The sequence below is a fragment of the Homo sapiens genome, chromosome 15 (assembly GCF_000001405.40).
Source record: "Homo sapiens chromosome 15, GRCh38.p14 Primary Assembly".
NCBI lineage: Eukaryota > Metazoa > Chordata > Mammalia > Primates > Hominidae > Homo > Homo sapiens.
Genome location: NC_000015.10, coordinates 51,888,183 through 51,903,165, shown reverse-complemented (window position 1 = coordinate 51,903,165; position 14,983 = coordinate 51,888,183). Strand labels below are relative to the sequence as shown.

The 14,983-nt window shown below is 39.3% G+C and overlaps 1 protein-coding gene across 1 annotated transcript in view; it reads right to left on the bottom strand.

Annotated features, from left to right (window-relative positions):
* TMOD3 (tropomodulin 3) overlaps window positions 1–14,983 on the bottom strand; it is an 86,073-nt gene that overhangs the window by 12,560 nt on the left and 58,530 nt on the right. Inside the window, exons 5-9 of the mRNA NM_014547.5 lie at window positions 14,021–14,110; window positions 9,221–9,351; window positions 6,640–6,747; window positions 2,868–3,011; window positions 1,130–1,274 (exon numbers count right to left, since the gene is read on the bottom strand). Coding sequence (NP_055362.1) covers window positions 1,130–1,274; window positions 2,868–3,011; window positions 6,640–6,747; window positions 9,221–9,351; window positions 14,021–14,110 — 618 coding nt within the window. The remainder of the gene's footprint in view (window positions 1–1,129; window positions 1,275–2,867; window positions 3,012–6,639; window positions 6,748–9,220; window positions 9,352–14,020; window positions 14,111–14,983) is intronic.

Here is a 14,983-nt window from a genome sequence, read left to right as displayed (position 1 = left end):
GCAGTGAGAAGACAGTTCCACAACAGTCCTTTTAGGAAGACGAGCAAACACCTACATACCAGACTATAAAACCTGGGTGAGGGCCCAGGTGCGGTGGCTCACGCCTGTAATCCCAGCACTTTGGGAGGCCGAGGCGGGTGGATCGTGAGGTCAAGAGATTGAGACCATCCTGGCCAACATGGTGAAACCCCATTTCTACTAAAAATACAAAAATTGGCCGGGCGCGGTGGCTCACGCTTGTAATCCCAGCACTTTGGGAGGCCGAGGCGGGTGGATCATCAGGTCAGGAGATCGAGACCATCCTGGCTAACACGGTGAAACCCTGTCTCTACTAAAAATACAAAAAAAATTAGCCGGGCGAGGTGGCGGGCGCCTGTAGCCCCAGCTACTCAGGAGGCTGAGGCAGGAGAATGGCGTGAACCTGGGAGGCGGAGCTTGCAGTGAGCCGAGATCGTGCCACTGCACTCCAGCCTGGGCGACAGAGCAAGACTCTGTCTCAAAAAAAAAAAAAAAAAAAAAAATACAAAAATTAGCTGGGCACGGCGCGCACGCCTGTAGTCCCAGCTACTCGGGAGGCTGAGGGAGGAGAATCACTTGAACCTGGGAGGCGGAGGTTGCAGTGTGCCGAGATGGCGCCACTGCACTCCTGCCTCGCAACACAGCGAGGCTCCGTCTCAAAAAAAATCAACAACAAAAAACCTGGGTGAGAAATATAATTATTCTCTATTTTATATATTTCTATATCCACATTCTATCATATAAAATTGAATTTCTATCTGGGTCCGCTTGATTAAAAGGGCAAAAAACTTTCCGATAATGTTGAAATCTTTGTTTCAATAGTTCCAAGGACTGATCTGTAACTGAGAACAAATTGTTTGTTGTAGAAAACTGGTCACTTAAAACTATGAAATACGCTTGTCACAGGAAGCTGATTTTACCCATTGACCCAATCATCACAACCTCACTTTAATTGAACTTGAATTCAATCAGTATATAAAGGACCATGCAGATTTTAGAAACAAAGGCCAAATAACTTCTCTGTTAGAATTTATTCTTAAGAGGGAAAGAAGTTCCCCCAATACGTTAGCTTGTGATAGAACTCAGAAACTTGATCGATACTATGTCTTACCTAAGTCATTGTTTTTTGTTATAGCATTAGCTGCTCTGGTTCGTGGTCCCTGCTGTGTAAACTGATATCCAAATTTAAGGATATTTGTATTTTCCTCAAGCATCTTGGCCATTTCCAATTCTACAGCTGTCCCCAACTGCTGCCTCTGGAGTAATTAGAAAAAAAGAACAATATTAATAAACTAGATCAAAATACTTTTCAAGGTAAATTAAGACATTCAGGCACATGCTAATTCTTTGATCTCTTTAAATGTTCCCAATTCCTACAACATATACATAGTTCAGTAGTTCCAAGTACTGATTTGTAACTGAGAACAAATTGTTTGTTGTAGAAAACTGGTCACTTAAAGCTATGAAATGTTTGTCACAGGAAGGGGATTTTACCCATTGACCCAATCATCACCACAGCCTCACTGGAACTTTATACACACACACACACACACACACACACACACACACACACACTAAACTTTTTAAAGTTCAGTAATATGATCATATAGACATCAAAAAAGTGTGAATTACTATAATGACATATCACTTCATACCCACTAGGATAAGTATAATAAAAAAGATAGATAATAACAAGTGTTGGCAAGAATGTGGAAAAATGGGGACATTGCTGAGAGGAATGTAAAATGGTACAGCTACTGTGGAAAACTGGCTGCTGCTCAAAAAGTTAAACATAGAGTTACCATGTGACCCAGCAATACACTCCTAGCTATATACTGAAGAGAAATGAAAATCTATGTCCATGTTAGAGTTTGTAATGAATGTTCACAGCAGCATTATTTCTAGTGGCCCGTATGTGGACACACCCCAAATGGAATAGAATATTATTCAGTCATAAAAGAATGAGGTCCTGATGTATGCTACAATACAGATGAACCTCCAGAACATTATGCCAGGTGAAAGAAGCCAGGCACAAAAAGATCAAATATTGTTTGATTCCACAGATATAAGCTGTCCAGAATAGGCAAATCCTAAGAAACAGAAAGTGGATGAGTGATTGCCAGAGCCTGGTGAGAGGGGTGAATGGGGAGTGACTGCTAATGGGTATGGGGTTTCTTTTTGGGGTAATGAAAATGTTCTGGAATTAGTGGTAATGGCTGCAAAACTCTACAAATATACTAAAAACCATTTAGCTGTATACTTTAAGAAAATGAATTTTACTGTATGTAATTATATCTCAATAAAAAAATGAAAAACATGGATTATGAAGCACTGGGTTAAATTTTAAGACATAATCCTCTTTTCCACCTTCATAGTTTACAAAATGTATTTACTTTGAAGGACTGAAGGAGACATTTAACAAATATTTTTTCAAATAAATGGAGTTATTTTTTCAAATAAAAAAATTAATAGCTACTCTGGATGGAAACATTTCTAACATGTATCTCTCTGCCTTTTACAAAAACCCTACAATGTGGACCTTGCCAGCACAGAGCTGAAAAATTGGAAGGTGGACTAGGTCACATGTAAGAGTCCTCTCAGTTCAAACTAGATAGCCATCTAAATTCTCTTAAAATGATCTAGGGAGAGTATACACCTTTACATTGTATACACTGTTATATACACTGAGTTAATATTCTAGATACCCCAAATGTCAGCTCTCCTTTCAGCCCAGCATCTTCCAACAGGGATCCCTGACAGCCCGCCTCCCATCCCCATCCTGAGTCGCCAAGCCCTACACAGCAGCGTGGGCTGTAGCTTCCTCGACGTTATTATTGTAGAACATTGACCTGATTGTCAATCTTGAGCTCTGCCAGGGTTTCATTATCTCTTAACGCATCAATCAGTGCCAGAATCCCAACTCCCGTGATAAAGTTGGACTCCACATTTAAGCTCTTCAAAGTTTTGTTCACTTTCAGCATTTCTGCAAAAGCCTAGAAATTAGAGAAAATATTAAGAGATTAAAATTTGATACAGTACCTACTACATATTGTACATGCCATAAATAAATACATTAATTAACTGCCTTAATGTTTGTCATTAGTTGTTTCAGTTTGACACAGTAGCCCATAGCTCTCACATGTACAGTTGTCCCTCAGTATTTGTTGGGGGTTGGTTCCAGGACCATCTGCAGATACCAAAATCTTCAGATGCTCAAGTGCCTTATAGAAAATGGCATAGTATTTGCATATAACCTTCACACATGCTCCTGTATACTTTTCATTACCTCTAGGTTACTTAATATACCTAATACAATGCCTACACATCACTTCATTTTTGTGGATTCAACATAGTACCTGGCATACAGCAAATTCAGATTTTGCTTTTGGAAATTCATAGAATTTTTTTCCAAATATTTTTGATCTGAAGTTGGTTGAACCCATGGATGACTGTATCTACTTTTCTTTCTTTTTTTTTTTTTTGAGACAGGGTCTTGCCCTGTCACCCAGGCTGGAGTGCAGTGGCAGGATCACAGCTCACTGCAACCTCTGCCTCCTGGGCTCAATTGATCTTCCCACCTCAGCTTCCTGAGTAGCTGAGACTACAGTTGTGTGCCACCATGCCCGGCTAATTTTTGTATTTTTTGTAGAGATGGGGTTTCACCATGTTGCCCAGGCTGGTCTCAAACTCCTGGGCTCAAGCAATCCACCCACCTCGGCTTCCCCAAGTGCTGGGATTACAGGTGTGAGCCACTACACCTGGCCTGTACCTATTTTTCATATGTACCCAGTCATAATCTTTTGATTTTTTGGTCACATGTAATTCCCCGTTGGTGACATTCTCTACTCCTCATTCCCTACTTCATGCTTCTTTCTTCTGTCTCTCTCACTCTTTCAGTTTCTGTGTTAGACCAACTTCATCAATGTCGCTGTAACATCTTTTCTTATTTGGGTCTTGCTGTAGCTGGATCATGTGAAGCCAAAATGAGGGTAAATTATGTACTAATTTCCAAGGCAGGGGCCAAAAGAAATGGTCAAGGCAGAAGGCCAGAAAAGAACACAGATAACCAGAACCAGAAGAGCACAAAGGCCATTGAGAAGAAGGGGCTAATAAAATATTAAATTCCTCAAGTAATGGTATGTCTTCAATCTGCTTCTATTTCATTTCTCATAGGATACAGTACAGTGTTAGACATTTGACTCAGTGCTTAATAAGTACCATATTGATTAATTAACAGAAGCCTACAAGTGAAAAAAGAAAGAGGAGGGAGACTGGGAAGGAAAGAAAAAGAGACAGAGGTAGGAAGAGAGAAGAAGGGAAGGAAGGAGGGGAAGGAAAGAGAGAGAAAAAAGAACAATGATCATGAGTTTATATAAAACAGCCCCTTAGAGGGATCAAAAGCAAGGTTAAACTACAGAAAATATGGGTAAGACCAAGCTTAAAGTTAAAGGAAAGGCAATAGGGCGTAGAGATACTAAAAAAACTGTGGCTGGTATCTACATACTTGTCCTTTCTATTAGCAACAACTAGCTATGTGACCTGGAACAAATCCCTTATCCATACATGTATTCGAATATTACTGATGGTCTATTATTTGATTAGCACTGTCCTAGAGATTCAGAGATAAAACACATTGGTCCCTGCCTGGCAGAATGTTCATTCTAGCTGGGGAGGGACACAGATAATAAAAGTAAGCAAAGTGCAATGTTAGAGGGTAAAAAGAAAAAAGGCACAATAGGGTAGATGGGGAATACTGGGGGTGGGAATGGGGTTGGTATTTTATATAGCACGGTCAGGAAAAGCCTCAACTAGAAGGTGACATTTGAGCAAAGAGTCAAAGTGATAAGACAAAGCTAAGTGGATTATTTTAGGAAGAAAGTTCAAGGCAGAAGGAACAAATGTACAGGCCCTGATTTGGGAGTCCACATGGCATGCTGAAGAAGGCTGTATGGCTAGAGTAGAATGAAAGAAAGGGCAAGTAAATGAGATGAAGTCCACTCATGTGAAGCCTTATAAGGCCACTGAAAGATTTTTATTTTTACTCTTAATGAGATGGGAAGCTGCTAGAGGGTTATCCGAATAGGAATGAGGTCATTTAACTTAAGTTTTAAAAGAATCACTCTTGGTGCTATGTAAAGAACTGACTTTGGGGTAGGTAAAATAGATGAAGGTAACCCAATTAGGAGGCTGTTGCAATAATCCAGGTGGGAAAAGATGGTGGCTTGGGTCAAGGTGGTAGTTGTGAAAATGGTGAGAAGTGGTTGGATTCTGAAATATTTTGAAGATAGGGCCAAAGGTAGGTTTAAGTTGCAAGAAAGGGATGTCGAGAATGATTCCATTAGTTTTTTGTTTTTTTTTTTTTTTTTGCTGGGCGTGGTGGCTCACGCCTGTAATCCTAGCACTTTGGGAGGTTGAGGTGGGCGGATCACAAGGTCAGGAGCTCGAGACCAGCCTGGCCAATATGGTGAAACCACATCTCTACTATAAATACAAAAATTAGCCAGGCGTGGTGGCGCATGCCTGTAATCCCAGCTACTCAGGAGGCTGAGGCAGGAGAATCGCTTGAACCCGGGAGGCGGAGGTTGCAGTGAGCCGAGATTGCGCCACTGCACTCTAGCCGGGGCAACAGAGTGAGACGCTGTCTCAAAAAAAAAAAAAAAAAAAATTTTTTTTTTTTGTTTGCCTGAGCAATGAAAGATTGAAATTGCATTTAGTAAGATAGAAAACAGCAGAGAAAAGCAGGCACAGGATGGAAGTCAGGAGTTTGAGGACTTACATGTAAGATGTCCATTAGACATCCAAGTAAAGCTGCTGAGGAGGTAGCTGGACATGAATACGGAGTTCAGGAGAGAGATACAAACTGTAGATAATAACACTGGGAGTCATCAGCAAGTATATGAAGATAATATATATATTTCTGAGATTACCCAGAAAGTCAGTGTAGACTGAGAAAAGAAGGACCACGTTCTGGGCCATTCCAATATTTAGAAGTTGAAGAGATATGGAGAAACCAGTACAGGGCTTTGAGAAGGAATGTCCACTGAGGTAAGGGGAGCCCCCAAGGGAGTGAGTGATATTCTCAAAGCCAATGAAACAAAAGGTTTATACCATGATCAAGTGGGATTTATCTCAGGAATGAAAGGCTGGTTCAACATATAAAAGTCAATCAATACACCACATTGACAGAATAAAGGACAAAAACCATATGAACATCTCAAGAGACACAGCAAAAGCATTTAACAAAAATCCACCACTAAGGATCCATAAATGGAATCCTCTGAAGATGTTAAAATAATGTGGTAGATCCCTATGTATTGATACAACAAAACTTTAAAGATAAACTGCAGAGTGAAAAATCAAGTTGCAGAACAGCATATACTACATGATTCCATTTATGTTTTAAAAAATTCATAGGAAGGAGGGGGAAGCTGGGAGGGGGAAAAAATTCATAGGAAGGAAATACAGGAAAAAATAAACACAAAAAGCTGGTAAGTAATATACTGCCTAATAGTGAGCTAAAACATTAACTATAAAAAAGGGGTAAATCTTGTTCATAAAAATCACCACTGTAACACACCCTGGGCATGTCATAATTTTGATATTCTCAAGTCGCTTACTTACAGTAGCAACAGGGTCATTGCTCCGGGTGGCTGCAAGACTGAAACATTTCACATGTGTGTTGGTTTCCAAAGCCTTTGCAAAATCTTTTAGGGTTGGAATTGGGATATTCTTGAAAGACAATAACATAAAACATCATTACATTTCAATTTTCATTATATTTAGTTTCCATTAATCAAATATATGGTTTTTTTTGCTTTAAAATGTATTCAGAAATTATACAAACACCTAAGAATTAGTCTACAAATGAATACAAATAATGCAGCTTCCTCCATAATTATCTGACTTATCTACGATGGAGCATTTGCATAAACTACTGACTCAGAGCAGAGCACATATCACCATTTCTCTAGCATTTAGGTTAAAAAAAATTCTCATTATTCTCACCTTTCATTATTCCTTTTATTTATTTATGTATTTTGAGACAGAGTTTTGCTCTTGTTGCCCAGGTTGGAGTGCAACGGCGCAATCTCAGCTCACTGCAACCTCTATCTCCCAGGTTTAAGCAACCCTCCTGCCTCAGCCTCCCAAGTAGCTGAGATTACAGGCATGCACCACCAGGTCCAGCTAATTTTGTATTTTTAGGAGAGATGGGGTTTCATCATGTTGGTCAGGCTGGTCCCGAACTCCTGACCTCAGGTGATCCACCCTCCTCGGCCTCCCAAAGTGCTGGGATTACAGGCATGAGTCACTGCACCCAGCCTTCATTATTCTTTTTATATGAAAATAAAAGTGGATTTACTTTTCTACAAGGAAAGAAATGAAGGAGTCCATCTCTGATGAGTACGATTCCTGAGGCAGACAGACTGTTCTCAGTCACTTAGTTTAAGCTACAAAGCACTAAGAGAGATTAACCCTACACTACTTGAAGGAGAGAAAATACTGAAGATGCTGGTTTCTCTCAGTAGTATCTTGAGACTTCAATTCCCCCTAGCCTGGTTATTTTCAGATGATTACTGTTTATTTAGAGAAAGGGATACACAGGGACCAAATTAAAAAAAATAAAAATAGGCCGGGCGCAGTGGCTCACACCTGTAATCCCAGCAGTTTGGGAGGCCAAGGTGGGCGAATCACTTGAGGTCAGGAGTTCAAAACCAGCCTGGCCAACATGGTGAAACCCCATCTCTACTAAAAATACAAAAATTAGCCAGGTGTGGTGGTGGATGCCTGTAATCCCAGGTATTCAGGAGGCTGAGACACAAGAATTGCTTGAACCTGGGGCAGGGCAGAGGTTGCAGTGAGCCAAGATCGCACCACTGCACTCCAGCCTGGGCAACAGAGCAAGACTCTGTCTCAAAAAAAAAAAAAAAAAAGTTAGTAATCAACTATGAATATAAGCTTTCTCTGAGGCTTTCCTTCCTCTACTCACAGGAAGGATCACTCCCTAGAGGAGCACAGAAGCTTCCTTCCCTAGGCTCAAGATTTCCAGATGCTCTCCTCCACTTGTCCTCGACTTCAAAAAAATCAAGTTTTAAAATGAGGAATTTATAATGAAGCCATTACACAATGGCTAATATCTAGATAATTTGAGTTTACTTTTTGGTAATTAATTACCCCATGTCCTCCTAATTTCTTCTTTCCTTACTCCAAGGAAGAGTTGCATTGTTTAAAACTCAAAATAAGATCCCAGAAAGCCTATTCCTAGGTGTTTACTCAAGAGAATTTAAAACATGTTCACACAAAAACCTGTGTGTGAAAAGTATATAGTGGCTGTATTAATAAACATCCCAAACTGGAAGGAACCCATATGTCTTCCAACTGATGAACAGATAAACAAACTGCAGCGTATCTGACACACTCACCATGAATCAATCTCAAATGTATTATGCTAAGAAGCCAGACCCAAAAGGCTACATACTATAGGATTCAATTTATATGACATTCTGGAGAAGGCAAAATAATAGGGAAAGAAAATAGGTCAGTGGTTGTCAGGGGCTAGAGCTGGGGGTCAGAGAATGACTACAAAGGGGTATGAGAGAACTTTTGCGGTGACAGATATATTCTATATCTTGAGTGTAATGGTGGTTGTACAAAATTGTATGCACCTGTCAAAATTCATAGAACTGGACACTAAAAGGGAGAATTTTACCATATTTAAATTTTACCTCAAAAAAACAGGTTTTATTTTATTTTTTGAGATGGGACAGTGGCAGGTCTCACTATGTTGCCCAGGCTGGTCTCAAACTTTTGGGCTCAAGCCATCCTCCAGCCTCAGTCTCCCAAGTAGCTGGGATTACAGGCATGCACCACCATACCTGGCTAAGGAACCGAATTTTAAAAAAGCAAGACCCAAGAGGCTAAATGTTCTTAGAAGTGGGCAGTATTTAGAAAACCTGAGATTTATTCTGACAGTTTGTAGGGTTTACATTTTTAGATGATAAATTCTTCAAAAAGCAAGTTAGAAAATACTATACCATAATACTTCAATATCTAAAATATGAAGAAACCTATGTTAGCATACTGGTAAGAGCAAAAACTTTACGTTAAAGTAGAAAGAATTAGACTATTTTATCAACTGCCCAGCTCTCATCCTAGGTTCAACTAACTCAAAGCAATACAAAACCACTCTGATTAGCACACTTACCTTTATATTATTCAAATTAACTTCAACAAGATGAGCATCGTTTTCTTTAGTTCTCTTCAAACTCTCTTCTACATTGGTTGGATTTGGTGGCTCATCAAATACCGGAAGAATCTTTTCACCTTTGACCACATCTGCAGTGATAAATGAAAAGAGCAGGATTTGATACCATTTTTTTTTTTTTGAGACGGAGTCTCGCACTTTCGCCCAGGCCGGAGTGCAGTGGCACGATCTCGGCTCACTGCAAGCTCCGCCTCCCGGGTTCAAGCCATTCTCCTGCCTCAGCCTCCTGAGTAGCTGGGACTACAGGTGCCTGCCACCACGCCCAGCTAATTTTTTGTATTTTTAGTAGAGACGGGGTTTCACCATGTTAGCCAGGATGGTCTCTATCTCCTGACCTCGTATCAACCCGCCTCAGCCTCCCAAAGTGCTGGGATTACAGGCAGGAGCCACTGTGCTCAGCCTGGAGTTGATACTATTACAGTGCATGCAGATAATTGACTTGGTAACATCTCTTTCTCTCTCTCTCATACACGCATATTTATTCAAGGGGACAGATTTAAAAGTTCCATCCCCACAATTCCGAAAAGATCCTTTATGTGTTGACACATATTTATTTATTTAATTTTTTTTTTTTTTTTTTTTTTTTTTTTTGAGATGGAGTCTTACTCTACCACCCAGGCTGGAGTGCAGTAGCAAGATCTTGGCTCACTGCGACCTCCTCCTCCCACGTTCAAGCAACTCTCCTGCCTCAGCCTCCCAAGTAGCTGGGAATACAGGCGTGTGTCACCATGCCTGGCTAATTTTTGTATTTTTAGTAGAGATGGGTTTCGTCATGTTGGCCAGGTTGGTCTTGAACTCCTGGCCTCAAGTGCTCTGCCTGCCTTGGCCTCCCAAAGTGCTGGGATTACAGGCAGGAGCCACTGCGCTTGGCCTTGACACATATTTAAAGCACCCAAATAAAATTTTACTGAATATAAATACCAAACATATTCAACATTTAATTTGTTTGCCATGTATCAGTCTTCAAAAATGAATATTTTCATTGTCTTAGTATATTACAAGATATTTTTACCACTCAAATATATTTGATAGCACAAGTTGATGATGCCATTTGTTTTTGGCAAAATTTAAGATAAAATAATAGTATGATAAAATCTAGCATCTCATCATTTCTCTGAAATTTGACTGATAATTGGCATAAAGGCAGTAAGAATCACAGACTTAAAGAAATATAGCCTAAATGAGAAGAATAAGGTGATGGGAGGGCACATTACCTCTTCCTCCCACGAGGAGTACTCTGCAGTGGGAAAGTGGGGAGAACTTCCTGCGAGAAAGAAGGAATAGGAAAGAGGGTAGGAATAAGGAGCAGAGAGGGAGAGGAGGTAAAGGTACACAGAAGAGCTACTGAGACAGAGGCTCCAAAATTTACTGCCCTCCCTCACTCTCACTCCCTAATCTTTACCTCAGCTACCCACACAGGAATATGATGCTTCAGATGTGAACGACAGAGGACCTGAAATCCTTGAGCCCTTTAAAGAGATCACTGTGCTCTGATGCATGTGTGTGGAGGTCTACGAACACCTATAATAGGTAAACTTTTATGGATACATTTTCTGGGGAAAACATTACTTTTTTGTGGTCATTCAAGTCAAAGACCACAAAAGGCTCACAAACTAATGAATGAGCACGAAAGAGTAAGAGCAATTGACATGGAAAGACTGACCGGGTTCAAAATGGACTACTATCTGGCTTTTTTCCTTCCTGCCTTCCTCTAGATTTTAGCAGCAAAACTCATCTTGAGACAGGGTGCACTGATTATCCAATAAATTCCATCTAAGAGTATCTTGTTACTTTCAAATATCACACACACACAGCATCTTGAGAAGATCAACTTAGATGAAGGTTTGAAAATTACTTTCCCGAGGTCAGGTGAAAAATCTGAATATATTTAGTCTGGAGAAGTACCTATTAAAAGAAGTTATCCTAGCTGTTTTCAGATTTATCCTGTAGAAGTTGAGAAGAGACAAATTTAGTGCTGTTCTGAGAGGCTGCGTTAGAACAAGTATAGATTGCCAAGAAGCAGAACTTGGTTCAAGACAAGGAAAAGCTTCCTAATGGAGCTCTGCTAAACAACAGAGAGTGGGATCCCTCTCACTTAAGTTCAGCAAGGTAGTCTTCAAGATAGCTAGGGAAGAACTTCCTCATTGAATGGAAAATTGAATAGTTCTAATTTTATAAAACCAAAAGATTTCTTTCCCCATTCCACACATCCTGTGGAGTGGGGAAAGATGGAATGGGGAGAGAAATCTTAAGAGCCTTGCCCCTTAATGAAATAATGAATCCAGTCAATGGGATGCAGGAATTATTAAGCAAAAGGTTCATGGGAAACTTAAAAAGGATGGGTCAGGCTGCCTACATTTGAACCCTGTGATCAATCTCATTCCCCCAAAGAGGAAGGATTAGACTTCATAAGCTTCTTAATATGATTCAGTCACCACCCATGAAGCATTCTTGCCAAAAGGGACCTGCACCTGCATCTCATCAAGCCACTAGAACTAACAGTTTACAGAAACATAGGTGATAGAAAAACATAAAATGATACCATAAGGTTGAAATCAGCCAAATCCAGAATGTGGAAAATTCTACGAAAAATAAACCCAGTTTCTTAAAAAATAAATGGCACAGAAAAAAAAAAAAAAAAGGAAAGAGGTTGGGGAGGAGAACTGTTAAGAAATTAAGGGAGACTAAAAAGACAAACAACCAAATGCAGTGTGTAACCTTTTTTGAGCCAATCATGAAACGACATTTTGGAGAGAACAGAGGAAATCTGGACACAGACTGGGTATTACATGATATGAAGAAAATACCGTTAATTTTTAAGTTTGATGATGGCATCATGATTACATTAAAAGAAAAGCCTTTATTTGTGAGACACACATATGGAAATATTTATAGGTATGTAATACAAATGAACAGGGTTTGCTTTAAAATACGTCAAGAAAAAAAAGTAGAAGGGTTAGGAAGGGAGACAGAAGATGAATAAAACAAGGCTGGCAAATGTTAAAAACAGCGGAAACTGGGTAATGAATATATTATTCTCTCTTCTTCTATGTGTGTTTGAACATTTCTACAATAAAAACTTAAAAATGAGAAGGGGGATGGTCAAATTACAAAACATCGTAGAAAGGAATGTTATACACATGTCTGAATGATGTAGATGTATACATATTAACTAGAAAACACGGTCGACTGCTAAGTGATACACTATATAACACGGGTTAAAATCCTTACCACTGACTTTGTGTAAAATATTGAGGTTACCCAATTATTTTAAAATGTCAGCTTTCTCACATGCAAATTAAAAATAATAATATCTATTTCATAGAACTGTTGTCAGGGCTAATAAGAGTACTTCACGTCCAAGAGCTGTGCACACAACATGGCCCACAGTAAGCATTCAAAAACAGTTGGCCAGGCACAGTGGCTCATGCCTGTAATCCCAGCACTTTGGGAGGCTGAGGTGGGCAGATCACCTGAGGTCAGGAGTTCGAGACCAGCCTGGCCAACATCGCAAAACCCCATCTCTACTAAAAAAAAAAAAAAAAAAATTAGCTGGACAAGGTGGCGTGCACCTGTCAAATCCTAGATACTCAGGTGGCTAAGGCAAGAGAAGCGCTTGAACCTGAGAGGCGGAGGTTGCAGTAAGCCAAGATGGTACCACTGCACTCCAGCCTGGGTGACAGAGCAAGACTCCGTTTCCAAAAAAAAAAAAAAAATTAGCTAATAGAATTATTATTGAAAAATTAAGTTGCAATAAATATTTACAGTATAATCGATTTTTTGTAAAAAATAAGAGACTATGTATAATATGTATACATTAGTATAAACAGTGCAAAGCCTGGAAGGGTATATACAAAATTGTTAACAGGGTAGGTGGTGTTTGGGGAAGTAGAGGGCATGATGGCTGGAGACAGAGACACTTTTACCTCTTCCCATAAATACTTATGTACTGTTTAAATGTGCTACAAAGGCATGTATCACCTTGCTAATTTAAGAACACCCTATACATGAATTTATTTTTTGAGATAGGGTCTTGCACTGTTGCCCAGGCTCGAGTGCAGTAGTGTGATCACAGCTCACTGCAGCCTCAAGCTCCTGGGCTCAAGCCATCCTCCCCTCAGCCTCCCAAGTAGCTGAGACTAGAGACATGTGCCACCATGCCCAGCTAATTTTTAAAATTTTTTAGAGATGGGGGTCTACGTTTCCAATGCTGGTCCTGAACTCCTGGACTCAAGCAATCCTCCTGCCTCAGCCTCAGAAAATGAAATTACAGTCATGATCCACCACACCTGGCCCCTATAAATGAGTTTCTGAAAAGCTTTGCTTTAGGCTATATAATACTTCACATCAGACTGAAAGGTTTAGGGGCTGAATAGTTTTGTGGTATCTCCTGAATCTGATTTTATAATGTAATTTCTTTGTAAGTACTGTTATGTATTTCTTGAAAATTAGTAGTAGTGATAATAAAATGTCAACAAAACCAAGTTGGACTAGCTTTTATACTGTTTAGCATTATTTAGTGAGGTAGAGTGGTTCTTATTACATTTGCTGACCCATTAAACACAAAATATTTAATACTCTATTTTCAATGGCTTTCTTGGTTAATACCACCAAACTGAAATGTCAGGTTTCAAGTACATATATATAACATCTAGTATGTGAACACTTAAGCTGACACAAGGCGAAAACAAAATATATTTAATAAAGGATTAGAATTCACAAAGCATTTTAAGTACTCACTTGAAAAATGTTCTTGGTCAACACCATTACTACTTCCCATTATATTACAGAACTTTGTATTCGTTATCAAATTGTGCATCCCAAGAATTGCTATAAATACAGAAAAAGAAAGTTTTTATTGTTTTAAACATGAAGAGTTTTACAACTAAAAATTTCTATCAATAATTTTAATATCCTCTGGACCTTTTCCTATAAATTACAGATCACACACCCACACAGAAAACAAAATGATTAAAAATCACCTATAATCTCATTCTCCTCAATACTCTTATTATTTTCCCCCACATTTCTAAATTTACATTTCCCCACATTTCCAAATTCAGAGTTGGAGGCAGCCTAATCCTGAACATAAATCTATGCTTAGCTCCATCTAGTGGCTAAGAGAGAAAATGGAAATGATCTATTTTTGCCGTTCATTAATTTCACAAGGTTTCTAGGAACATAATATGACAAAAAGCAGATTTTTAACTTAACCTTCATATTTTAATGTGTGTTAATCTCATGTCATTAATTTACACTTGGACTGTAGTTAAGAGTAGAATACTAAAGTATTAGGTTCTCGTATGTAAGAATACGAACACCCTTCAAAAATGACACTTAGGAGGAAAAATAAATTTGGTTTTAGTTTTTGATGCCCTTGTGCACAAATAAGGCAGAAGTCAGAGGATGTCCTTGGCTCATTCCACTCTGGTGAATGTACTGTTTACAGATCTGTCAGTCTTCAGTCCCTCAACCCGTAAGACTCCTGCTGTGGCTGTGGCGTCACACCTAGACTTGTCCCTTTCCAAGGTCCTTTCCAAAGAACCATCAGTGCTACATTCAAATTTATTAGTTCCTGGGGTTATTTGGTTTGAAGAACTCCCCATGCATCACACTTTTCTATCTAGGAAAGTAGATTGTACATGGGTAGGGAGGGGAAGATACTGGTCTAGATAAGAAATTGACAATAATGAAAATAATAGA